This window comes from Homo sapiens, chromosome 2 (assembly GCF_000001405.40).
Source record: "Homo sapiens chromosome 2, GRCh38.p14 Primary Assembly".
NCBI lineage: Eukaryota > Metazoa > Chordata > Mammalia > Primates > Hominidae > Homo > Homo sapiens.
The window spans coordinates 181917272-181944433 of NC_000002.12; the positions used below are offsets into that span (position 1 = coordinate 181917272).

A 27162-nucleotide genomic window follows, 5' to 3' on the forward strand; every position below is an offset into this window, starting at 1 on the left:
CCTCTTATCATGACATAGTAGACAGGGAGCCACTTGGAAAGTAAAAATCAAAGGTGTAACTTCTCAAGTTATAATAAGATATACCTCCTCTTAACTGTAAGTTTTATCCTCATGACAATTGTCCCCTAACAGTTTTCTGTTTAAACAGAATGTGGGTGTTTCTTATTCCTCCTTACAAAATATAGTTCTGTCTGTGATGGAACTTGCAGCTGTGATTATGTCAAGCTGGGGATTTCCAGGACCCTGTCCACCAGTACCGTGGTGCATCTTTCTAGGCCACCTAGTTCTTCTGCTCCAGCTGTGGTCTCTTTCTCCTGGATATCCCAGCAATAACTCAGCTAATACATCTCCCCATGCCTACCCCACCCTACACTAGTGGACAGGTGCTTTCTATGATGTGGTCTCTGACTATCTCTCCAGCCTCATTCCTTAGCTGTAGGATTGTGCACAGGTCTCTAAACAGTTGTGTGTTCTTAGGTATCTGCACATGGCTGATTTTGTGTTTTGTTTTTTTAAAATAAAAAGATGAAGTTTCTGTTTCTCGCCCACGTGGAGTGCTGGAGACAGTGGTGTAATCATGGCTCCCTGCAGTCTTGAACTCCTGGGCTCAAGTGATCCTCCTGCCTTGGCCTCCCAAAGTACTGGGACTATAAGCCACTTTTTTTTAACCGAGATCACCCAGTCTTTGCCTTTCTTTGCATAATCAAGCCCTATTTACTGTTAAGGCTCAGTTCAAGTAGTGTTACCACTTTTGGGAAAGTTCACGTAATCTGAATTTTTCTGTGTTCATCATAGCACTCCTTCCACAGTATTAGAATTTTTTTAAAATTTCCTTTATTTTTCTTTACACTGTGAGAACACCTGAAGGCTGGGAATACCTTTTATGTTTTTATCTCACTGCCTAAAATAGTGGCATATAGGAAATGCTAAGATGTCTGAGAAAGACGACAATGATTGCTTGCTCTCCAGCAAAGTTAATAATCACTATAATCTCATGATGATATTTGCAATGGCTTCTACATTTTTGCGTTTTGATTTTGTTTTTTTTTAGTTTCGCAAGAGGGAAGTCCTGAAAGAAATAGATGTGAACTATGTTCCTTCGCCTCCTCCTCCCACGTAGATTGACTTATACCTGGAACAGCTAGCAGTACTAGGTGTCATTGGGAACTGATTTCTTTTTTCCTGCTTACAATATGAAGGTTTTTTGGATCCTTTTGTCTTAAAGAGAAAAATATATAGGCCCCAAATTCTGCCTTTTAACCCCTTAAGTGATTTGGAAGTATTCACTTTAACATTGGTTTTAATCCTACTTTTACTTTTTTGAAGTACCCTATGATGAGAGGACCTGATCCTGCTGCTGCTCCATATAGTACTCAGAAATCATCTGTTCTACCTCTTTATGAAGTAAGTTCTTTCTTACATCTTTGTGTTCCAAAATAATTTGTAGAATTTAGAAGTGTAATTTTGTTATATTGCATTCTAGAATACTTTTCAGGAGCTCCAGGTAATGAGGCGGAGCCTGAATTTGTTTAGAACACAAATGATGGATTTAGAATTGGCAATGCTGCGTCAGCAAACCATGGTTTATCATCATATGACTGAGGAGGAGAGGTAAAAGTTCATTTTGTCTTAGCACACCTCAAAAAGCTTTTCATTCAAAGTCTTCTCAACTTATATTTTTTAAAATTAGGTTTTGATTCTACTGCTGTGTACCTTGTATCTGTTTTGTGAACCAGTGTAGATAAGATTAGTCATAGATAGTGTTTTACTAAGTAAACTTGTATGCCTTCAATATCCTAAGGGTAGTGGTAACCTGCTTTCCCGTGTTTGAGATATTTGTGAGAGGATAGGGGAAGAAAGACTAATGTCCTTGTGGATACACCTATTGTAGTTGATATTGTACTAATTTCTAGAACCTGAGATTTCCATGCCTTCTGTTAGCATATAGTAGTTGTTGAAAGATTTGTGATTAGGAATCTCCAAACTGCATTTTTCCAATTTTGTGCCCTTCACCATACCAATAGGTTTGAAGTTGATCAGCTCCAGGGTTTGAGAAATTCAGTCCGAATGGAACTTCAGGACCTGGAACTGCAGCTGGAGGAGCGCCTGCTGGGCCTGGAGGAGCAGCTTCGTGCTGTGCGCATGCCTTCACCCTTCCGCTCCTCCGCACTCATGGTACGCTACCTGGAGGGTGGTCGGAGTTTTCACCAAAGGTTTATTTATAATGTTCCAATAATTTAGGACGTGTGCCTTCATTTCAAGTCATTTATTTTAATGGTATTAAAAGCATGCATACTGTTTAAGGAGCTTTCCCACAAATCAGTTGAATGTACAATTTGTAATAATTGTCATAAATAGTATATTTAGAAATATGTTGAAAATTTTTAATGATAAATTTTAATAACAGGAAAGAATAAGGGCTTATACGAAAGTTGAGGGTTTTTAAAGGAAAAATGCTAGTGAATTAACATATGACTAATGTAAATTTTAATTGTTGCATGTAACTGCAGAGAACACAGATGCATATTTTGCTGTTTTTTTTTCTTTCATGCCTTTAAATAAAAAAGTGTTCCTTTTAAACTTTTTCTTTATTTTGGATTCTTTTCCATTTGTTTTTAAAGGAATCAAATGATACCTGTATATTTTCATACATATATATACATACACATACATATATGTATTTTCCTAAATATATAGATATATATCCAAGAGAATAAAAAGAAACATGTTTTTGTACCACTTTTCATACTTCTAATGTTTCTTTCCATAACATTTGAACTTCAACAGTTGTATTATTTTTGCAAATATCTTTGAAGTTGTAGAATATGTTGCTTTGAAATGCTGAAATAGTGAATTATTCTTTGTTACCTTAACAATGTATTTGATTTTGTTAAAAAGAAATGGATGAATATACACACATACAATTATGTGTGTATATACTATAAATGAAGTAGAATAAACAATGGTGTATAAACACATATATGTATAGCATAGACTAAGGATGTTCTGTATTGCTAATGAATGTACTTTTCAACATGGTTTTGATTTATCATTCTGAGAAGTGTATGTTGGTGACGGGAGAACTAGAACATCCTTTTTGCATATTGTATCAGTTTTAACTCACAATAATGCATTTTATGGGATCTGTGACACTTGAGAGTAACCTTTGTGACATAAAGGGATGCTTCCAGGCACTAATTAGCCAATTAATTTTATTATAAAAGTCTTGTGATTTGAAAAAATATATATGTACATTATAATTATATATGCATGTATGTATATATACACACACATATACATATATATATTGTTCTTACCTTTTCAGGGAATGTGTGGCAGTAGAAGCGCTGATAACTTGTCATGCCCTTCTCCATTGAATGTAATGGAACCAGTAAGCTTCTTTCCTCTTAAATCACTGGGGAAGGGAATGATACAACATTTCAGACACATAGTTTCCCTAGTTTAGATGAAATATATGTTTATTTTAAATACATAATTTGATAAATTATTGTTGATTGGAAGTGACTTTCACCTTTGAAAGTCCATTGCTGTCTGAAGCCACTAGAAAGCCACCTGAATTGCAATAGTGATTTATCTTTCTGACTAAAGGAGGTAATGCACCATAAAAACATGTACAGTGGCTCATGCCTGTAATCCCAGCACTTTATTTAAATGGTTGAGGTGGAAGGATTGCTTCAAGCCAGGAGTTTGAGACCAGCCTAGTCAACAAAATGAGACCCTTTCTCTACAGAAAATTTAAAAATCAGCCAGGCATGGTGATATGTGCCTGTAGTCCCAGTTACTCAGGAGGCTGAGGCGGGAGGATTGCTTGAGGCCAGGAGCTCAAGGCTACAGTGAGCTATGATTGTGCCACTGCACTCCAGCCTGGGTGACAGAGCAAGACCCTGTCTTTAAAAAATAATAAGCCAGGTGTGGTGGCTCATGCCTGTAATCCCAGCATTTTGGGAGGCTGAGGCAAGTGGATCACCTGAGGTCAGGAGTTGAAGACCAGCCTGACCAACATGGTGAAACCGCATCTCTACTAAAAATACAAAAATTAGCTGGGCATGGTGGCAGGCATCTGTAATCCCAGCTACTTGGGAGGCTGAGGCAGGAGACTTGCTTGAACCCGGGAGGCGGAGGTTGCAGTGAGCCGAGATCAAGCCATTGCACTCCAGCCTGGGTGACAGAGTGAGACTCCATCTCAAAAAAAAAAAGAAAATTGATTTTTAATTTACATTTCAGGAGACATGTGCTTTCACAGTTTGATCCTGGTTCTTTAGGTAGTTAGAGCTGTAACATGACCACGTTTTTAACAGAAATCTGTCTTTATTGTGTTAGACAGATTGGTTCATTTGGGGGCAAAAGCACTATGAGTAACTATTTTTCACTAGTTACTCTTCCTTACAAGTGATTTGGACACTTTGGTGGTAACAAGTAAAATTTCATCCTACTATGTATTCTGTTTACCTGTTTTGTTGCTTCATCTCAATAGGAATTTAAATTTTACTTACCATTTTTGCAAATAAAATTGAGTAGTTATTAAATTAATGGAATAGATTTATGTCTTTACAAATTACATGATTTTAGGCAATAATGACAACCAGGACTTTAACCTTTTTAGCTACCAATCTTAATTCCAAGAGAGAAGAATAACATTTTTTTATGATCTCCAGGTCACTGAACTGATGCAGGAGCAGTCATACCTGAAGTCTGAATTGGGCCTGGGACTTGGAGAAATGGGATTTGAAATTCCTCCTGGAGAAAGCTCAGAATCTGTTTTTTCCCAAGCAACATCAGAATCATCTTCTGTATGTTCTGGTCCCTCTCATGCTAACAGAAGAACTGGAGTACCTTCTACTGCCTCAGTGGGCAAATCCAAAACCCCATTAGTGGCAAGGAAGAAAGTGTTCCGAGCATCGGTGGCTCTAACGCCAACAGCTCCTTCTAGAACAGGCTCTGTGCAGACACCTCCAGATTTGGAAAGTTCTGAGGAAGTTGATGCAGCTGAAGGAGCCCCAGAAGTTGTAGGACCTAAATCTGAAGTGGAAGAAGGGCATGGAAAACTCCCATCAATGCCAGCTGCTGAGGAAATGCATAAAAATGTGGAGCAAGATGAGTTGCAGCAAGTCATACGGGAGGTGGGTAAAATCTGTGTTTCATTCATTTATTTGGAGGTATATGTTAGAGGAGATTTTGTCTGAATATTAATTATTTACAGAATGTTCTTTTGATTCACTGTATTCAATAATTTTCACAGAGCTTTTAAATTAGCTTTCCTGTTGATCAAGTTTGTGTCAATTAAGATATATTTGTAATGGCATTTCTGCAAATTTCATACTCTAATGTGAAATAATTACAATTCTCTGTGTTCAGTATGGTGAAAAAGATATGTGAAGGACTCAAAATAAACATGACGTACTCTTTGGACCTCTTGTTTCCACATCTACAAAATGAGGATTTACAGTTTAGATCTCTTCGAGGATTAAAAACTGCATTTTATAGCTGGACGTGGTGGCATGTGCCTGTAGTCCCAGCTACTCGGGAGGCTGGGGTAGGAGAATTGCTTGAACCTGGGAGGCGGAGGTTGCAGTGAGCCAAGATCATGCCATTGCACTCCAGCCTGGGCAGCAGAGCAAGACTCCATCTCAAAAAAAAAAGAAACTGCATTTTATAATTACAATTGATAGGAGAAAATGATTTTGTGATTTTAATAAGTATAAATAGATTGATTTGGTTTGGTGTTTTTTATTCAAAAATCAAAATATACGAAGAAAAGAGGGTTTGCCCTAGGTGATAGCAGCATAAGAACTTGAAGAATTACCATAGTTATGGATGACCAAAAGAACTGCAAAAGGAAATTACATATGATTAGTAGTGAAAGTTCAAAAGTTGAGAAAATTAGTAAAATAAATGTTTTTTGCACTGAGATCAGGTAATAGGAAGGAATAGAATATATCGTTTAAACAGCTCAATGCAATTATCTCTGTTTACCTAGTAGTATTCTGTGGATTAAATTGTACATAAGCAAATGTGAAATTTGCTGTATATGCAGTTCTCTAGTATTTCAATCATGTTGAATCAAATCACATTTTCAAAACAAGCATTATAGCAGAAGACTTCATATCTGTAATTTATTTTCATGATATGACTCTACCAACTAAATGTTTAAAAGGTCTTAATTCTATAAATTTATTTTTCCTACAAATGTAATTATTTTTGTAAATTGGTTTTGGCTGCCTAATGTTTAGCAAACTCAGCATTCACCCTACTCGGTCAGGTGTGTCTATGATTAATAATCCATTCCTGTTTACATGTTTTATATCAAAGATTAGTTTTTGAGTGAAATTATGTAATTATTCTTCTCCACACTATATTTGCTAACTGAGGAAGTGGGTTTTAAGGTAATTTTTTTTTTTCTAGAAATGTGATGGTTTTGTTCCCCTTAGCTTGCTTTGGTATGAAAGTTTTCTTTGAAAACTTTATATTGCTCTTTTAAAACAAATACTCCATTCAATGCACACTTGAATCCTCATTTTTAGAATTTTAATGGCCTGATATGTCCTGTAGGTGATTTCCTAAGAATAAAGTGTTCATTTCAGACTAGAACATTGATTCTTTGGCTTATAAGACACAGCATATAGAAAATTTAGTTATTCCCATTAGGCTGCCTTGGTCCTAGAGAATTAATCATTTAAAAGAACCTCTCATTAAATATGAAAGATTTTATAATTTGCAAACACTTAAGCTGGTATGCAAGGCAAATGTTCAAAGAATTTTTCAGAATTTGTTATTTAAACCATTAATTAGAAACTACTTAGTTCTGAATTTGGCATAGGCTTGAGGAAATTGGGTTTAACATTTATTCTTTTACTGTCTACAAAGGGCCTACCCAGCAAAATATGTATAGATCAAACAAGGCATAAGAGGAGTATTGTTGTACTTAAGAAAACAAATTATTTTGAAGTACTTTAAAAGCATATTTAATAGTTTAATGCCAGTTATAATTTAAAAAATTATGTTAATATTCTCTTAGTTACAATAGTTTTCTGTTTATAAAGTATTTAAAATTTAGTTTGGTTTTTATTCCAGTCATTCAAATTGGTAACCTTTTTACCTAAATACATACTGTACTAAATTCCAATTTTTTAAAATCTTGGTGTACAGCTACCAAGAAAATTAAATTAGATTCTGTCTTCCTAGCAGATCTGAGCCCCTAATCCCATTAACAAAGCCACCATTCAGGAAGGCAAGATTTAATCTTGGGTTGAACAGTTTTGCAGGTGAGGATTAAGCATGTTTGGCAGGCACTTTCAGGAAAGTTTTCTTACTGCGTTCATGGATGCATGAAAACAATGGTATCTGTCAGGCCTTTGTTTCTTTCGTTGTACCATTAAGTGAGGTTTTTAAAAAGAGGGTTTTCATCATTTATAATGTGTTAATACAGTAGAATTCTTTTTTTGAAGGACAACATTGAAAGTCTTTTCAGACAAATATTTAATACACTAATTACATAGCTAAACTTTTGTCATATTAAAGATACCTCTTTTCTGCATGTGCATTGTACTAGGAAAAAAGTACACACTGTCTTAAAATTTGCCCAAGTCATCTGTGATGTATGTGATCAGTGGCCTGAAACTGTTTGCAGTTACTTTAAAAATGTATAAATGTGTGTAAATAAAAAGATTACTTAATAGGATGAATGAATACATGCCCACAGAAGCCAATTCAGCAAAATTAAATGTCAAGGAGTAAACATAGATTGCTTTGTGTTTAGAGAGTTATTTGTTAATTAGAGTTCATAGACTTGATTCATGCCTTTTGGGATCTTTATTAGAGCACGTCTGACATGTTTTACCCATGTATTTTGGTAAATACACAGCTTGCTCATGTGTTCTTATGGAAATTTCTTTTAGTGATCACTTGTAATAGCTGCCACTTAGTAGGCACTCAGTAAGTGCATAATAAGTGGATGTGTTCCCACATACTTCAGACTTGTAGTCAGTCTTTTTGTATTGTCGATCAGCATGACTTTCTCAATCTCAGGTAGTCTGTATTTAGCCTACATTTTTTTGGAAATTATGCTCATAAAGGTAATTTTACCATCCATCCCAGGGTAGTTTCCTCACTTCTAATCCTTCCAACCTCTCCATAGCATGGGAGACTTTAGAACTAAATTATTTGTCCATGCATTTATTCATTCAATAAATTAATAAAGACATTGTATCATTTTCAGGGCCATTTTATCTGTAGTCTGCTTTCGTTTTTCTGCTTTCTCTTCCTTTTTGTGTCTGATATTGTCTCTCACCCTTGTGCTTTCTCACTCTCTCATTGATTCATTCATTCAGACGCTTACTGAGTTCTTACTGTATGCTGAGATACACTGATAAATGAGACCTGACCTGCTCGCTGAAGGAGCTCACAGTACACCTTCCATCTGACCTCACCCTTCCTATTCTGATTCCCTTCTGCTCTCTAGAGGGAACTGTCTTGGCAGTCAGGCTCCATTATACTCCCCTCTTATTTGAGACCGTCTTGCTACAGAGTTTTCTATCTCCACTGTCATCTGAAATTGTTCTTTCTTTGTTGTGACATACCATGTAAAAGCTGCCATTCTCTGAGAATTTTGTCCCACACTAGTCTCTCATTTATCAAAATTTTTTGTTCTTATGTCATTAATGAATCAATAAATTATTTTTCCTTTAGTATTTTATGAAACCGACGAGGTGTGGTGGCTCACGCCTGTAATCACAGCACTTTGGGAGGCCGAGGTGGGCGGATCACCTGAGGTCAGGAGTTCGAGACCAGCCTGGCCAACATGGTGAAACCCCATCTCTACTAAAAATACAAAAATTAGCCAGGTGTGGTGGTAATCCCAGCTATGCAGGAGGCTGAGGCAGGAGAATTACTTGAACGTGGGAGGCAGAGGTTGCAGTGAGCCGAGATTGCGCCCCTACACTCCACTCTGGATGACACAGCAAGACTCTGTCACAAAAATAAATAAATAAGAAATATATTTTATGAAACAGTATTCATTTTGTGTCCATTGAGATTATATCATGCTTGATGGTAGGGATTCTTTTATACTTTATTCCAATAATGCCTGTACTCCCAAAAAAGATTGGCACACATTCCTGGTTTGTCAAGAATACATTTTGGCGACTGGGCGCGGTGGCTCACGCCTGTAATCCCAGCACTTTGGGAGGCCAAGGCGGGTGGATCACAAGGTCAGGAGATCGAGACCATCTTGGCTAACATGGTGAAACCCCGTCTCTACTAAAAATACAAAAAATTAGCCGGGCGTGGTGGCGGGTGCCTGTAGTCCCAGCTACTCAGGAGGCTGAAGCAGGAGAATGGCGTGAACCCAGGAGGCGGAGCTTGCAGTGAGCCGATATTGTACCGCTGCACTCCAACCTGGGTGACAGAGTGAGAATCCATCTCAAAAAAAAAAAAAAAAAAGAGAATACATTTTGGCTAGTTTGTTTTTTGAGTGATGAAGAATAATGAGATATAATAAAATGGCCATATTGCATTGGTAGCAGGACTGGAAAGACTATACTCATTGTTGTGAATATAGATTTGCAGTGGTCCTAATTCAGTATGTTGTATTTCTGTTTATATACTGTGACTAAGAGATTCTGGTTTTTAAAATATTTGTATCCAACACATACTTGTTTGAAAAGTAAATCTGAAGTGCTGTGTGCTTCAGAATCTTCTGATGTTGTTTAAAGTTTAGAAATATTGATAAAAGGTAAAGTGAAAAGCTTATAGTATTTAAATATATTCCAGTACAGATGGTTGGTAGCTAAGGAGTGTTTTGTTTCTTTAAATAACTATGTATAAATCTATGTATTGTGTACCAATTTTGCATGATAGACTAATACAGGACCATTTTTGGAAAGATTATAGTTAAGATGTGTTTGAGATGTACTTAGGAACATTGTAGGAAATAAATCAATTTGGCTGACAGGAAACTGGAAATGTAGAATTTTTAAAAGCTTGTTGAGAGTATCTTGAGTGCTTATTTGGGAACACATTATCACTTTATTTCAGGAAATACACATTTATAGCTTTCACAAAGGGCTATTTAAAAGTGATGCTGTATCATTAGAGAGAAAAGGTGGAGATAGGCATATGTAAGTGTTTGGACACCTGTAGAAGAAAATCCTGATGGAATTGTCATTTCCTCAGGTCTGTTTGCCTTTTCCAACAATAAAATGAGATGTATATCCTCATATCCTATATGCATATTGGAAACAAAAGCTTAGATGGCTGGCAGTGATACCATGCAACTAAAGAAAAAGTTATTTCTTTAGAGTTTATGGTTGTTTTGAGGATGTTTTTTATATTATAAAATAAATTGTACTAAATGATAATTTCTTCTTCCCATTTTAAATGTGTTAGGTTGAACAATATGTCTTTAGATACCTTGCTGTCAGTTGGCATAAACAGGCAGTATACCTGTATACTATTTTGCCTCTAAAAGATTTTCTCAGCAATGAGAGCACTTGTGTCTCTGCTGATTACCTTACAAAGTTAGACAATACTAAAAACATTTAAGAAGTCCTTCCAGATTATTTTTTTGACATGAGGTAAAGTATTTACTAGAAGTTTTTTAACTTATGAAATAACATTTTCTAATGTCCTCACCTTATGAATTGTGATATTTGTAATCTAGTTAGCTGAACAATTCTAGACCAGTCCTTGGGAGTCTGATCTGGGTTGGATGATAGATGGACTCGATTCCCCACTCCCTCTCTGTATTGCAGGGAGATTCACATGAAGGTGAAATTAAGAAATTGAATGCTATTTGTATTTTTTCCAAAAACAGGAAAAAATGAATTCCATTCATATTGGTAAATTTTTGTTTTATTGTTTTTCCAATCTAGATTAAAGAGTCTATTGTTGGGGAAATCAGACGGGAAATTGTAAGTGGACTTTTGGCAGCAGTATCTTCAAGTAAAGCGTCTAATTCTAAGCAAGATTATCATTAAACAGAAATTATAGGTAAATTTTTCTGAGTTTCTTTGTTGAGCTAAATGTAAATAGTAACTGGCATTTTATTCTTTGTTTTGTTAGTATACAGGTTTGGTTCTCTAGTTAAATTTTGAGTTTTAGAATGTATGTAATATGTTATTTTACAATGTGAAAATTTCACACAAGCCTATTTGAAGTGTAAGTCAAATCCCATAATACAAATCTCCAAGGAATTACTTATATTGGGTCATTCTACTGAAATTTCATTATAGTAATAAATCCTGGAATTGGACCTTCAAACCTGAATCTTATTTTGATTATAATGGTATTTCAGATGTATAGTTTTAAAGAACAAGATTTTGTGAATTAATCACAACTTCCTTTTTTTTTTTTTTGAGACAGAGTCTCGCTCTGTCGCCCAGGCTGGAGTGCAGTGGCGGGATCTCGGCTCACTGCAAGCTCCGCCTCCCGGGTTCACGCCATTCTCCTGCCTCAGCCTCCCAAGTAGCTGGGACTACAGGCGCCAGCCACTACGCCCGGCTAATTTTTTGTATTTTTTAGTAGAGACGGGGTTTCACCGTTTTAGCCGGGATGGTCTCGATCTCCTGACCTCGTGATCCGCCCGCCTCGGCCTCCCAAAGTGCTGGGATTACAGGCGTGAGCCACCGCGCCCGGCCGAATTAATCACAACTTCTAAGTATCTTTCCTAATTATTTTTATCTTTTAAAGAAACATATCCCATAGATTCATTTCTAATAATAATTTATTTCAAAAAACTCTTTTATATGTCTGTCTTAGTAAAACGAATTACTTTCATTTTATCTCGTAGCTCTAATTACATTAAAAAATTTTTTTGTAGAGATGGGGTCTTGCTATGTTGCCCACGCTAGTCTTAAACTCCTAGCCTCAAGCGATCCTCCTGCTTTAGCTCTAACTTCATTTTATATAATATATATTAATAATAATTCTTGGTGAATGCAAAAAGAAAGAATAAGTTGAGTAGAATAGAACTAAAAATATTCATTGAATAAGACATGAGAAACAAATGTAATTTGAAAAGTATAATATACAATTTCAGATATAGGAAATTGGAAAGTATTTTAATAAATTATGTCACAAAGCAATTAATAGGAATTATTTTTTTTAAAGCCAGGGATATAAGAATTAACTCTCAGGAAGATGTATAGAGATTACAGGATAATCATGTTTCTGTGTATATATATTTGCATAAAATTCTCATCTTCCTTTAAAGAAGCTTTTAATAACAGTATTTGAAAGAGGTTTAAAACTGACTTCTCTTTTCTTTTTTAAGGTTGGCATGGATCCTATTAGCTGTGTAATACTGGAATTATCAATGATATGCACTGGTGGAGGTGTTATTTGTGCTTTAGAAGATACTTGCTGTTGAGCTGGGCTACTGTATACAGTGTACAATGTGTATTTCTTCAACCATATATTTTAAAAAGACGTACATAGAAACTTAGGCACTTTGCTATTTCTTTTCTAAACTATCAAAAACTCTAGCAGTTTGAAAAGCCTAATATTTATTTGTATGTCAGTATTTTTCATTTGATTCCCTATTAGAATTAATTTTAAAACTTGAAGACTTCCAGACTTATCCAACTTATAAATAACATATTTCTTCAGACTAACATCTTAAAACACTGACCTCTATGAGGTATTTACTGTGCAATAACTGATTCATTTTTTTCAGAGCTTGAAGCATCCAATGATTTTTCCCTCCACTGCTGTTAATTAATGTCACTTCCAAGAAGAAAAACTGTTCTGTTGTAAAAAATATAATTGCTCTTAATTCTTGGGGAGGTTACTAATAGCAGTAGGATAGAATTTTATGAGGTTACCTACAACTACTTAATGTACTTACACTGTAAGCCTTGTTGCTTTACCCAAGACAAATGTAATTTTATCATTGCTTATGTAGTATTTTTCTTTTGGAAATGTGCCTTATGTTAAACACTATGTACTTTTACTTTTTGCATTGTCCAGACTTCTTTATTAGATGGAGATGTTTCTTTTTCTGTCTTCTAGACTAAATAGAGTATCATCCAAATAATGGGGCCTATGACTTGAATGAATAGAAATGAATAAGCTGGTGTTTGTTTTTTCAAAATGGAAGTAATTTAGATTTGTTCTCCTCATACATAAAATGATTTTAGTTCAGTTTTAACCAGTGAAAACTTTGTTTTTATGAAAAAAAAGGAAAATGGTTTCCCATTTGGTTTTATATGTGTTAAATAAATGTGTAAAGTAACCACCAAATGTTATTAGAATTTTTCTTCTAGCATTTATAATTTTTTCAACTCCTATTGTGTTTCTTTGTGTGTGATATTTTAATCAAAAGTGGTTGAGTTGTTAACAGTGTTCTTTGAAAGAATCTCTAAAAGGCTTATAAATGTTTGAAATATCACACAAAGGCTGATTTCTAAAATATATATATATTAAAACAATAAAGTATTTATTTTGCCTAAAGTGTTTTAGTGGTTTCTTAAACTGCAACATGAAGATTTTGAATTAGATTTGATAGGTAACAAATGAGGTCCAAAAGAATTGCAGCATATAACCCAATAGAGTGATACTCTCTTTTCCTAGGGAAGTGTTATGATACTTTAAAAAAACAATGCTTTAAAAAATGCTGTTTAAGACTAGACCACCCTGGAGAGAGGGCATGATTGAGGCCTCTTTGGCTTATCTAGTTCTGTGGTCATGATAATTACCATCAGAGGTCAAATAAAACTTCTCTTTAAAAATAAGCTATTAAACTACAAACAATAGATATTAAAATACTATTTAACTCTTTGTTCAATAACAGCAGTAATAACACCTATCAACCAAATGCCCCAATTTTTTTTTTATACTTTAAGTTTTAGGGTACATGTGCACAACATGCAGGTTTGTTACGTATGTATACATGTGCCATGTTGGTGTGCTGCATGCAGTAACTCGTCATTTAACATTAGGTATGTCTCCTAATGCTATCCCTCCCCCCTTCCCCCACCCCACAACAGGCCCTGGTGTGTGATGTTCCCCTTCCTGTGTCCATGTGTTCTCATTGTTCAATTCCCATCTATGAGTGAGAACATGCAGTGTTTGGTTTTTTGTCCTTGCAGTAGTTTGCTGAGAATGATGGTTTCCAGCTTCATTCATGTCCCCACAAAGGACATGAACTCATCATTTTTTATGGCTGCATAGTATTCCATGGTGTATATGTGCCACATTTTCTTAATCCAGTCTATCATTGTTGGACATTTGGGTTGGTTCCAAGTCTTTGCTATTGTGAATAGTGCTACAATAAACATACGTGTGCATGTGTCTTTATAGCAGCATGATTTATAATCCTTTGGGTATATACCCAGTAATGGGATGGCTGGGTCAAATGGTATTTCTAGTTCTAGATCCTTGAGGAATCGCCACACTGACTTCCACAATGGTTGAACTAGTTTACAATCCCACCCCTAAATGCCCCATATTAATAGAAATATAGTAATCAACGATTTTAACTATTTAGTTTTGAAGTCACTTTTAGTTAATTTTTGACAACACAAGATACCCAGATTTTGATAATCAAAATTAGAAATATAACAGTTGCAATAATAGGCTGAGACAATCAGCAAATTACCTACATAGTATATGAATCAAATAAGAGGAGTCTCAACAACTATCAGAGTTTTATGTTCCTTCTCCCCACTTTATTGTGTACTTAACATTTGAAAGCTATCAAGTTCAAGCCACCGTGCTAGCTGCTATGTGGAAATGAAAAATGAAAGGGTCAAAAAAAAGACAAAGTCAAGGCATCTTTTAATTTATGGATACGTTTAGAAGTGTCAATGAATAACTAAAATAATTTGAGAGACTATAGCCTGGGGTGGTCAGAGAAGCCTACCAAGGAGATGAGATTTGAGTAAAGTCTTAAAAGTAGTCAAGAACATTAGCAAAAGTTATCAAGAATACATAGAGTTTGAATTACCATGTACATGATCAAAGCAATACTTTTTAAATGCCAGGTTCATTGTGTGTATTGTGCTAAGAGCTTGCACAAAGCATAGAAGAGAAAGAAACTTGAAATGGTGATTTTGATGTTTGGAGTTGCTATGAATGATATACCATGAGAAAAACAGGCAGATTTTGAAGTACATTTCAGATTTGAAGTACATTTGAAAAATTCTCAGATTTGAAGTACATTTCTTTCCTCTAAATATATTCAGTTGAATTTCATACATTTAAAAGTACCGAATATTTGCTCAGCTGGCCATCTTCAACCTTTTCAGAGGAACATAAGAATGCAGTAAAGTGTATATAAAAGAATGTAAAGAGAACGTAAGTTTGGGCAGTTTCTGGAGAATTGCTGCATTGCCCATGTTCTTCACCTGTACAAATGGGAGTGTGGTCTTAGGGAAGGAATTAAGCAAAACTGAAGTGTATGTTCTTCTAGAATTTTTCCTCTCCTGGAAAGAAGGAAATTATAGCACTCCTAGGAAGTGGGAAGAGGAAACATCCTATCACCTTTTAATTGAAGCTGAGGGTCTACACTTTTAAGCATCACTTAGAGTTACTTATGAATATTGGAAACATTTAATTAGCACTTATTCTAATTGCATTCTAAATGTATAAAGTTAAAATGTCATAACTAATAGTTCCTCTCCTATACAGTTTCTTCTATGTATTGCTATTGAATGAGGCCTTTTCCTTTTTGTTCTCATTTCCACAACTGATGTTCCATTAGTCATATTGAGTAAATAACAGTTTATATACAGTGTCAGTGTAATAAATAATACTGTCACAAATCATAAGTAATAACTTGCATACAGAATGTCAGTGCTCAGCAGGGAGTTACAAATATATTAAAAGATAATGCATATCAGACAAATATCAGAGTCCATTTTCCTCACAAGGGTCTTTCTGCACACCCAAAGGAGAAAGACTTAAATTTTTGTGAACAATGAGCTTATTTGCTCACTCTATCATGGTAGTATTAGTACCTGTTTCTCAGTTGATAGAGAAGAATGTAAAGGAACTTTGCACAGCGCTTGGCACAGCTCAGTAAGTTAGCTGTTATGGTGATAGCAAAGATGGGTAAAGATAGGTGACAGGTAGATGAGTTTTGGCAAGTCAAAGCATTAAATGGGAAGGACAGAATATGGACTTATAGATCCAGGACTGACCTTTTCAACTTTAATGTGTTCTTTCAAGCAGTTGAACTAGGAACTGGTACCAGACTGCCGATTCTGATATAGCAGGTGAACATTAATTACTGGTTTTAACATTTTCAAGAAATTTTGTTATTTGAAACCAAAAAACTGGTCATGGAATACCATTTAGAACAGTGCTTCTCAAACTTTAATCATACAAATCAAATTACCTGAGAATCTGTAAAAAGGAAAATTCTGATTGAGGTCTGGGTCCTACCTTCTAGGATTGAATTTCTGCATTTCAAGAAGCTCCCAGGTGAGGTTGATGGTGCTGCCATGGACTGCACTTTAGTAGCAAGGACTTAGGATAGTAGGTCTTCACTACCTGTCTGCTAGATGCTTCAAAGGAAGGAAATTGTTAAGTAGGAAAAGGATTTTAATCTCCAAGGGTACGTCATCTTACAGGCCCCTTCAAGAAACTTTTCATTATAGCCAAAGTTCAAAATGAAGAACAAATGTAAGCAAAGCACATAGAAAGGAGACCTCAGGAGGGCCCACCCAAGGCATTGTGGAATTGTGCAATGGCCAACGAATGATCACAGTAAAAGAAAAAAAATTGCTGATTGCTGTTGATGGCAATGAATAGTAAGTCCTTATATTGTGTAGATTGGATGTTGAGAAAATGCAAAGACCATCTGAGTGCTTCTAGAATCAACCAGTCAAGAACCAGAATGAGACCCAAAAAAGAATTAGTCTAGAGATGCTGCAGAAAGAGATCGGATCTGGGATATGGAATTTATTTATAGCCGTTGGAGTTTGAAGGAGTTTATCATTCCTTTCAGAGAGATTCATGATATTTCACCTCTGCAGAGCACACTAATTTCTTATTCGTGTTCCTGAGTTAATTGTTTAGTAAATCCATGTACTGATGATTCATGGTTTTGCTTCGGTACATCTCAAATAATTTTATTATTTCAGCAGTCCAAGATAAAAAAGAAAAAGGCCCCTGAAGTATAAAGCAGACATCTGAGGAGTAGATTCACAAATATCTGTTAGAACTCTGTGCCTGGGCAGAGACTGCTCTTGATAGAATCAGCAGGGTCATCAGTTAAATCTCAGTTGTGAATGTCTTGATTTATGTTTAGTCAAAAAGGACTTGCATTGTTATTAACCTATTGATATCTGTAAAATATAGACATTTCAATAAGATGATGTGTTTACCCAATCTTCTTTAGTCTGTGATGACAAATGGGAATGCATTAATGATGACAGATATATTTTTCTTTTTCCATCATGTGTTGAAAGATATGTTCCTCTCCTAAATCTCATGCATTAATATTGGGGCTCCCCGAGAGTTATTCATACATCTTCATGACAGTCCTAATACGTCAATTCTAAGTGCTTTGCTCTTCTCTTGCTCTCTCTGTTGAGGGACCCAGTGCTCCCCTGCCCTTCTGCTGGGGTCCTCAATCGGCCAAGGTTATGATGATAACACACTGTATGGAAGTGGAGGGAGTGCTTCTCTTGCTGAATTACCCCTTACTACCTTAGCAGCATAGCAGCATTGCTTATAACCCAGCTTTCTCATATGAATCCCTTGTGAAAGAATCTTAGGTCATTTCTGCTTTCAGACACATCTTCATGGGGCTTGGCCATGGGTGAAAGCGCTTGAGGCAGACATTTCGCTGTCCTTCCTATCCTCTCTTCTCCTCTAATGCTGGCAAGCTCTCTCGCTCTCTGCTAAAATGCCCCCATTTAAATCAACTCATTCAAATCTACCTTGGCTGAATCATAGTAGGAACACAGTGTGGGACCAAACTGTTCCCTCCTACTTTCAGAAACAGACATGCATTTTAATGACAGATATGAGCATTCATATTTTAACTGTTCTATTCTGAAACCTTACCACAATTAATTTCATTCGACCAACACTTAATAAGCTATTGAGTATAAGGAACTAATGACAAAATTAAATTTTTAATGACCTGATTATACCATTTACTAATTTACTAATTTTACTAGCATTCGAGTCAAGTCTTTCAAAATTCACAAAAGTGAATTTTTATTTTGATGTAACTTATTAGTTTTTCAATTGTTGTATAAAAAGCTGAAAGCAGAACGCAAATAACATCATGATTTCATCAGGTATATTCCTAAACCATTTTTTAGAGTAGATATAATTCTCTAGAAGTCTTTGGTTGGTCCATTCTGCTCTATAATGGGAAAGAGAAATGAATGAAATGGCTCATAATTGCCTAGATTCTGGATACATATTATGGCAGAAATTATTTTTAGAGGAGCATAGAAACATTGAAGGAAACAATTCATCATCAGAAGTGTAGATGGATTATAGTATACAGTTGTAATTATTACTCAGGATTTTAGGGCAATTTTTCCCAATCAGGGTTAACCTCCCACAGGTTTTGAATTTGTGTCTAACAGTCCACTTATATTATTTCTTGGTTGATGGATTAGCTGCATTATGGCAAAGCTGGCTGCAAAACAAGTTTCTCTAAAATACTTTATACTTTCCAGTTAATAACAAAAGGAAAGGGAAAAGAGAAAGAGGCAGTTGGGAGAATTAGTAACAGGCTAAATTTAGACCTTTTAATGAGAAAAATTCTTCTACTATGAAAAAATTCCAACCACTGGTACTCTTAGAGCAATATGTATTTTTTTAATAGTGTGTTCTCAATTTCAGCATTACCGTTCTGCTCTTTTCTTCTTGCCCTTCAAGAAATTCCCTTGAAATTTCAGGTTGTGTAAAACAAGCTAGTTCTTGATCGGATCAGACCTGTATGTTTGAGTCTGTGTACTGAGCCTGCTAAACACCAAAGACATCTGTGTTCACTTCTTTTTCAAAGAAAATAGTGCTGAAAACATACATAACTGAAGGGAGTAGAAAAATGTAAACATTGATGGGTCCAATTTAGAGGCAGATAGACCTCGATTCCAGACCTAGCATTGCCACTTTCATACCTGTCTAAGTCTCACCTTCCTGTAAAATGAGAAGTAACAATTGTACCTACCTCTTTGGTTTATTGAGGAGATTAACAAGTGTAATAGCACAGGGATATTTAGTTAGCTGCCTAGTATATGGTAAGAGCTCCATAAATATTAGCTATTAGCAAGAGGTAATAATAGTAGAAGAAAAATACAAAATATATAGCAGTATATTAAAATATCAAGATGATACACTGCATTGGTTATCTGAATCCAACATGAGAGAAAATACAGTTGATTTTATTCCAACTTTATGTTAAACCATTAAATGTAAAAATTATGTAATTAGTCCTGCCTAATCTTTATTTAATTCAGGGAAAGTTCAATGTGAGTTACATTTTTCAGAAGTCTCTCTAACTATTTTGAAGAATACACTTAATTGGCACCATTAATTGGGATCATCAATTAGGATAGTTGCCGATGATAAAATGCATCATCCTGTATCACTTACTTAGATTTGGAGCTTCAGAAAACTGGCATTTTTAGTTCGGTTATTTGTAGCCCTTTAGTGTATTTTTATAAGAATGCCTTGACACTAATATTCTCTGATGATTATCCTGTTTCTCTTCCGTGTTTCTTATTTTTAAAAATCAATTAATGAACAATTGAACTGAGCTTTTAAAAACCTTCTAGCATAGTGATTCTCAGCGGGGCAAGGGCAGTTATCAGAGTATGTGTTGTGTGTGTATATTTGCATGTGTGAATGTACACACATATGTATGGGCATGTCGTTTTTATTCAGTTTTGTGATTTTTTTGTTTGGAAAATACTTTATTGAAATACAAACTATAGAAAAGAGCCTTTTAAAATTTCCTGAGCTGGTGAATATAGGTTTTTTAAAAGTTGAGAACAAACTTTCTAACAAATTAAGCCATTTATACTTGCTAGCATTCAGAATTAAATGATTTGATTTGTTATCAACATAGAAATATTACAAATAAAATATAATCTATCCAGTGTTCATTGTAATATTTACTTTTGAAAGGTTCTGCTCTTCAGAATATTAGAATTCTAACGGATGTGTGATAGCCAAGTGATTTTCAACTTGATTTAATTCTGAAAGACATACAATCTAAAGTTGAATAAATATTCAATAGCTAGATATTACAGAAAATTTGAACAACAATTTTTAAAACACTACTGTGGAACAGGCAGCATCTTCCTGCTAGAGGGAAGAATGTACAGCTCTGGGTCAGCTGGTTGCTGAGAGAGGAACACTTACTTAACTATGACTCGTGTATCTTAAGAGATTGAGAATCAGGAAGTGTGGACATCAGTATTTTGTGACCTTGCCATTTCATTACAAGCAAGAAAAAGAAGAGGCACTTAGGGGAAGTGACGGCCACTGCCAACTTTTTGTTTCCTATTCAAACAAGGAACATTTAGGCATCTCCAAAATATTCTGGTACAATGCTAGAAAAACATTCTGTATGCAGCAAGTGCCTCTTCTCAGCCCATCTATTTTTATGGTTGCTGGTGAGAAACTTCATAGCTATCTCCCTAAAAATTAAGAGGCTTTTAATTGAGGTGCTGATCTATAAACACAACTATAAAGAAAGCTTCACAATATCCATAAAAAGCCCCTGGCTTGGTGGTTATTTTGTTACTAAACTGTGTATTTGGCTTCTCCTCAAGAAGAAATGTGTGAGTGGTTTTATATACTTGAGCCCCTCTCTACAGATTCTAAGTACATAAAAGTACATTTATAGATTATACTGTAAGTAATTTCTTTCCCTTCAAGGGGATATTATATACAAAGATCATGCCATCTGAAGCATTAGCCATTTTGGATTACTTTTTACATTTTCCCTTGTTGAAATAGCTAAGTAAAAGTTCCACTAAGGTCCAATTACACTTAGCAAATATGTTTTATCTATTGTATGCCAGGTACTTGGCTTCTTCTCACCAAGTCATGAGATTCTATAATAACTCCTTCATATCCAGTTGTCCCTACTGTTAATGTCTTAGTTTCCACCCTCTTACTTCTTGAATTATGGCACTATTTCCCACCTGGGCCTTTCTGCCTACCAGAGTTTGCCAGTAAGCCCATATTTTTCCATTTTGTTAGAGTGGTTGTTCTAAATGCAAATATGATCCTGTCACCTCCTCACTCCTATTGCTCAGTGTCATCCATGGATGTCTCATTGTTTTTGAGTTAAAGTCCAAATGCATCCCTTTCTTTCTTTTTCTTTTTGAGATGGGGCCTCACTCTGTTTCCAGGCTGGAGTGCAGTGGTGCAATCACCGCTCACTGAAGCCTCAACCTCCCAGACTCAGATGATCCATCCATCTCAGCCTCCCAGGTAGCTGAGACTACAGGCACGTGTCAACACACCCAGCTAATTTTTGTAATTTTGTTGAGATAGGGTCTCATTATGTTGCCCAGGTTGATCTCAAGCTCCTGGGCTCAAGCAATCTGCCCATCTCAGACTCCCAAAGTGCTGGGATTACAGGTGTGAGCCACTGCGCCCAGCCAAATGCATCCCTTTCCTTTCTCCAATCCTCATTTCTTGAATCCCTCAATATGCAACTGTGCTTCAGTCATACTCAACCATGCTGCTCCATGCTTCCCTGTATTTGCAAGTTTTGCCCTCTCTGCTTGGAAGTCCTTTCCTTTTTCTCCGATGCCACCCATGCTTCAAACATCTATCTCTCCATGAAGCCCTTTGTGACCCACCAAGCAGAAATCACCGCTTTGTGTTTCCAATGTACCTAGGACATACATTTAAATGTGTGTGTGTACATATGTGTGTGTGCAGATGCATATTAGCTTTATTGAAATATTCACAGATCATAAAATTCACTCATTTAATAATACATACAAATCAACGGTCTTTAGTATGTTTACAGAGTTCTGCAACCATCATCACAATTAATTTTAAAACATTTTCATTACCCCCTAAAACTCCCAGTACCCACTAGCAGTCACTCCTTATTTCTCCTCAACCCACACCCACCATAGCTCTAGGTAGCTACTAATCTGCTTCCTGTCTCTATAGACTTGCCTATTCTGGACATTTCATATAAATGGAATCATACCATGTGTGACTTTTTGTGGCTGGTTTCCTCACTTAGAATAATGTTTGCAAGGTTTATCATGTTGTAGCATACCTCAGTACTTTGTCCTTTTTTATTGCCAAATAATATTCCCTTATATATACATGCCGGCATTATATGAATATGCCCTCATTTTGTTTACCTATTTATCAGCTGATAGACATTTGGGACATTTGGGTTCTTTCCATTCTTTGTTTATTATAAATAATGCTGCTATGAACATTTATGTGCAAGTTTTTCTAAAGACACGTGTTTTCATTCCTTTTGCGTAGACAGCTAGGAGTGGATTTGCTGGGTCATATGGTAACTCTATGTTTAACATTTTGAGGATCGTCTTTTTTTTTTTTTTTTTTTTGAGATGGAGTGTCGCTCTGTCACCCAGGCTGGAGTGCAGTGGTGCAATATTGGCTCACTACAACCTCCACCTCCTGGGTTCAAGTGATTCTTCTGCCTCAGCCTCCCAAGTAGCTAGGACTACAGGCACACACCACCACGCCCAGCTAATTTTTGTATTTTTAGTACAGACAGGGTTTCATCATGTTGGCCAGGATGGTCTTGATCTCCTGACCTCGTGATCCACTCACCTTGGCCTCCCAAAGTGCTGGGATTACAGGTATGAGCCATTGCACCTGGCCAAGGATTGTCTTCTAAAGTGACTGAACAACTCTACATCCATCAGTAATGTATGGGGGTTGCAATTTTTCCACATCCTTGCTAAACTTGTAGTGGTCAGTCTTTTTTTATTCTAACCATTCTAGCAGGTGTGAGGTGGTAGCTCATCGTGGTTTTCATGTGCATTTCCCTGAATGATGTTGAGCATCTTTTTGTGCACTTATTGGGCATTTATATATCTTCTTTGGAGAAATGTCTGCTTACATCATTTAACCATTGTTTTTAAAGTGAGTTATTTGTCTTCCTATTATTGAGTATGTGAAGTCTTTACGTTTTCTAGGTGCAAGTTCCTTAGATGCAAGTTCCTTAGATACAGGATTTGCAACATTTTTCTCCTATTTTATGGGTTGTCTTTTCATCTTCTTGATAGTGTGCTTTGAAGCTTGAAAGATTTTAGTTTGGATAAAATTTAATTGATCTATTTCTGTCTTTTGTTGCATCTGCATTTTGGTGTCATATCTAAGAAACCATTGCTTAGCCCAGGTCATAAAGATTTACTCTTATTTATTGCCTAAGAATTTTATAATTTTAGCTCTTAAATTTATGTATTTTATTCCTGTTGAGTTAATTTTTGTACATGGTGTAAGTTAATGGTCCGATTCTATTTATTTTCATGTGTGTGTAGTACATATCTTTTAATTTTTTTCATTTATTATACTATATTGCAATTAACCATTTAGTCTTCCCAATTATAATAAGACAGAAACATGCCTTACCTACTATCATATACCTAGCACAGTGTTTGGTATGTAGTAAGTGTTCTATAAATATTTGTTAAATGGAGTTGAACTAAATGGAAAATATTGACTTTTCCTCCATTATTAAAAACAACAGATAATTTTTATTGAGATATGTAATTATTTAAATTTTAGTATGATAATGTTTTACAAGAATATGTCCACTTTATGAACATAAGGATTTCCAAACTCGGTCAGATCTATAATCCATCTAGATATATTTTGTTTACTGTCAGGGAAGAAGAAGAGCTATATTATGGAGTGTTTAATTCTTCTCCATAATTTTGACATCATTGATAAAAAATATATCCTCTGAATTATTAATGTCTCTATGCAATTCTTTGTTTACTTAATGTGGCAGATTATATTTTTTAAAGATAGGTCCAAAAGAATCTCCTATCCCAACTACTCTTCTAAAACTTTGCAATTTCCTCATTAAGAACTGTAGTCTGTATGTCTTCCTCCTCTTGCAACTGGTTGGTCTCTGTGACTGCTTTTGAACAATATGAAAAATAGAATGTGGTGAAGGTAATAACCTGTGACTTTCAAGGTTAGAACATGAAAAATGCCATGCACTTTTATCTGATTCTCTTTGAATTCTTGGTCTTGGAACCCAAACATCATACTGTCAGGAAGACCAAGAAGCCTGGGAAGAGGCCTACATGGAGGAAGACAGAAGCTTCTGGCCTTTGGCCCTGGAGGAACTCCCAGCCAACAGACAGCACCAAATCGCCAATCATATGAGAAAGTTATCATGAACGTGGATTCTCCACCGCTAGTCAAGCCACCCCAGGTGATATCACAATGAATTGAAACAAGTTGTCCCTGTTAAGCCCTGCCTGAATTGTGAATTCATGAACGAAATGAATGATTGCTGTTGCTTCAAGACACTAAGCTTTCAGGATACTTTATGTGCGCATAGATATCTGTGACAAATTTTGGTATCTAGAAGTAGGATGCTGCCATAACAAAACCCTATATTTGGGCATTGGCTTTGGGCCTGGACTGTGGGAAGCAGCTGGAAGGGCTTTGAAGAGATGCTTAGTGAAAACCAAAGGCTCTCAAGTAGACTGCTAGTGGAAACCTGAAAGACCTTGAGGAGGCTCTCAGTGAAGGTTTAAAGGAAAGTGAGGACAATGGTATTGGAAGCTAAAGGAATGGGAAGCCTTGTTGGATGACGGCACAGAGTTTGCCAACATAATCATCTGTGTTAATGTGGCAAAGTGGAAATATACCTGCTAAACTCAATGATCTAGTTAAGATTTCCAGGCAGAATATTCAAAATGCCACCTGATTTTTTTTTCATCACCTATGATAAAATGTGAGACAAGAGAGATGAGCTAAAAATAACCTTTAAATATAAAAGAGTCAGAACTTGCCAGGTTTGAAATAAAATTGTGTCTTATGCCCTGATCCTCTAAAAACAATTACTAAATTAAAAATGGCTCTGGAAAAGATAAAATCAAGGGTGGATCCATAAGATTCTTTGTTAGTACTTAAGAAAGATTTAAGAGAGTGGCTCACAAAACATTTCAAACAGAAAAAGGTATTTTTATGGATCTTAAGGCCTGCCTGGCCATCTCTTCTCTGTTAAATAATTGGGTGCTCAAGTGCCCAAGACTCCTAAGGATATATTCCCATAGGAGTCTCAAGAAAACCCCAAATAGATAAGGGCTTATCTTGAAGAGCTTTGCAAATTTGGTTTTTGTCTAACGGAGTTGGTTATCAATTGATACACAGAAATCTACAAGGATTTTTAAAGAATGTATTAACTTGAGCTGAAGGTAGAGGAAACAATATAAAACAAAGAAGGCTTTGGATCTTCAAATGTTTAGAGTTTGGAAGCAGGCCTTCTCACACTACTGTTTTGTAGCATCAGATTATGCATTGCCTTGCTTGGGTAAATCATTCTCCTGTATGTGTCTTAAATCTTCATGTTTCTGTCTTCAAAGGGCATTTCATATTTCTAATATGACTGGGATTTGAGGAACAAGATGTTGTTTCCAATCCATCACTTTAGGAGGTTTTAAGGGCTTCAAATAAACTATCACTCTGACTCAGAAAAACACTAGACATTTTTTTCTTTCAGAATGAGGTCTCTTCCAACCCACTACCTATTATCAACATCCCTTTTACAGTTTATGATCCCCTTGTATCTATTTTCTGGCTTTATTTTCTATTTCTTAAAATGCATCAGCCAGGACTACATCTAATGCCTCAGAACAGATGTATGTTGCTTTTGCCAGATAAGAACAATGTTATATGTTTGTTTACCACAGTAGTACTCTTTTTGATGATCATGGAGATTATATTGTTTTACTAAATATGGTATAGTTGGAAGATTACATAAGTATCTTTGGCCATAAATCTCAGAACAAGGAGGTTACCGTTTTAACTGCTTAGATTAGGAACAGTTCAAGGATTATTGGAAATAAAGTAGGAAGCACATATCTTACCAAATGTGGTTGGTAGAAACAGTAAATATTGGCAGAATCCTGTTTGAATAGTGATGAAGGATTATTCTGTGTTTTCTATTATTCACTTCAATGATGTTGAATTTGAGGAGGTGAAGTGGAGCCTAAATACATCTGGAAGATTTCCTTTTGCATTTGGCATTTGGGGACTGGAAGATGGTGTTGCAACAGGTACATATTTGGAATTGTCTCAGACCTTGTGTGAAGTATGTCTCTCCCTGTTCAGTATGCATTTGGAGTGTCAAGAGTAACTAAGTACCAGTTGAGCTACATTCCTCATGAAACAATCTTATTATGGCAAACCCAAAGACCTTAGCCCTGGTGATAATTTCCAGAGTGAAGTGTTCACAAGATGAAATGGAAAAACATCAGCAGCCCATCTTTTTCTTTGTCATCTTTGTTTATGAAAGCCTAAAAATGTGAATGAGCTTTCCTTGTTTGTGTTTCCCAAGCTTAATAAGGACATACATGGAATTTGTCAATGTGAATTAACAATTCTATTCATGTTCTATACAAGTGGCTTTCTACTGTTTGAACAACCAGTCCCTTTTGCTGGATTTAAAGTTATTTACTTACAAAGAAACAAACTCAATTTGCTCCAATTATTAACTAAAGACCTAATGTTGATTTATGGTGCAATCTCACTTTTTAGTTCCTTATCATTTAATTAGTCTACTTTTGTACCGAATAACAGAGGGAACGTCAGGTCTTCATTTCTGATTTACTATAGCAGGATAACTTTTTTCATGCTGGTTTATGTTTGTTTTCCTAGTATTTTGCTCACTCTATTTAGAAGAAAAAGGCCAAGCCTTACAATCGCTTGCCTCAGGGTTGTGATGCAGGACTGATTTTCCAATATCAAAGGAAAATAGGCTGCTATCCTAGACTAGGCGCTCCACAGTACTCCACTCTGACCTTCGCCTTTTAACTGTTATTTGAGAAAAACCACCACTGCCAGCACCACCAGACAGCAACAACAACCTTAATATGTCAGGGTCCCTGGAGAACCGGGTATGGTACAGGCTGGGTATTCTCAGATGAGACACTCGCTGTTCAACTCAGATTACTCTTAGAGAAAAAGAACTTCCTGTAGAGA

At 35.8% G+C, this 27162-nt stretch overlaps 1 protein-coding gene across 12 annotated transcripts in view, besides 3 other annotated features; it reads left to right on the plus strand.

Annotated features, from left to right (window-relative positions):
* Positions 1 to 13467, plus strand: part of ITPRID2 (ITPR interacting domain containing 2) — a 39009-nt gene extending 25542 nt beyond the window's left edge. For 3 of the 12 annotated variants that reach the window (XM_047445597.1, XM_011511702.4, XM_047445599.1), the window contains 6 exons: positions 1327 to 1404; positions 1484 to 1611; positions 2025 to 2175; positions 3326 to 3391; positions 4677 to 5141; positions 10890 to 11007. In XM_047445597.1, coding sequence (XP_047301553.1) covers positions 1327 to 1404; positions 1484 to 1611; positions 2025 to 2175; positions 3326 to 3391; positions 4677 to 5141; positions 10890 to 10994 — 993 coding nt within the window. In that variant the 3' untranslated portion in view covers positions 10995 to 11007. Of the gene's footprint in view, positions 1 to 1051; positions 1200 to 1326; positions 1405 to 1483; positions 1612 to 2024; positions 2176 to 3325; positions 3392 to 4676; positions 5142 to 10889; positions 11008 to 12289 lie in introns of those variants that run through there. The other 9 variants (NR_109843.2, NM_001130445.3, NM_001287503.2 and 6 more) reach the window with 7 other exon arrangements.
* Positions 14857 to 15057: a silencer, noted in NCBI's record as "peak3962 fragment used in MPRA reporter construct". NCBI's record gives its function as "represses an SCP1 promoter by STARR-seq MPRAs in K562 erythroleukemia cells {active_cell/tissue: K562}" and the evidence as "EXISTENCE:reporter gene assay evidence [ECO:0000049][PMID:32103011]".
* Positions 15097 to 15297: a silencer, noted in NCBI's record as "peak3963 fragment used in MPRA reporter construct". NCBI's record gives its function as "represses an SCP1 promoter by STARR-seq MPRAs in K562 erythroleukemia cells {active_cell/tissue: K562}" and the evidence as "EXISTENCE:reporter gene assay evidence [ECO:0000049][PMID:32103011]".
* Positions 26937 to 27137: a silencer, noted in NCBI's record as "peak3964 fragment used in MPRA reporter construct". NCBI's record gives its function as "represses an SCP1 promoter by STARR-seq MPRAs in K562 erythroleukemia cells {active_cell/tissue: K562}" and the evidence as "EXISTENCE:reporter gene assay evidence [ECO:0000049][PMID:32103011]".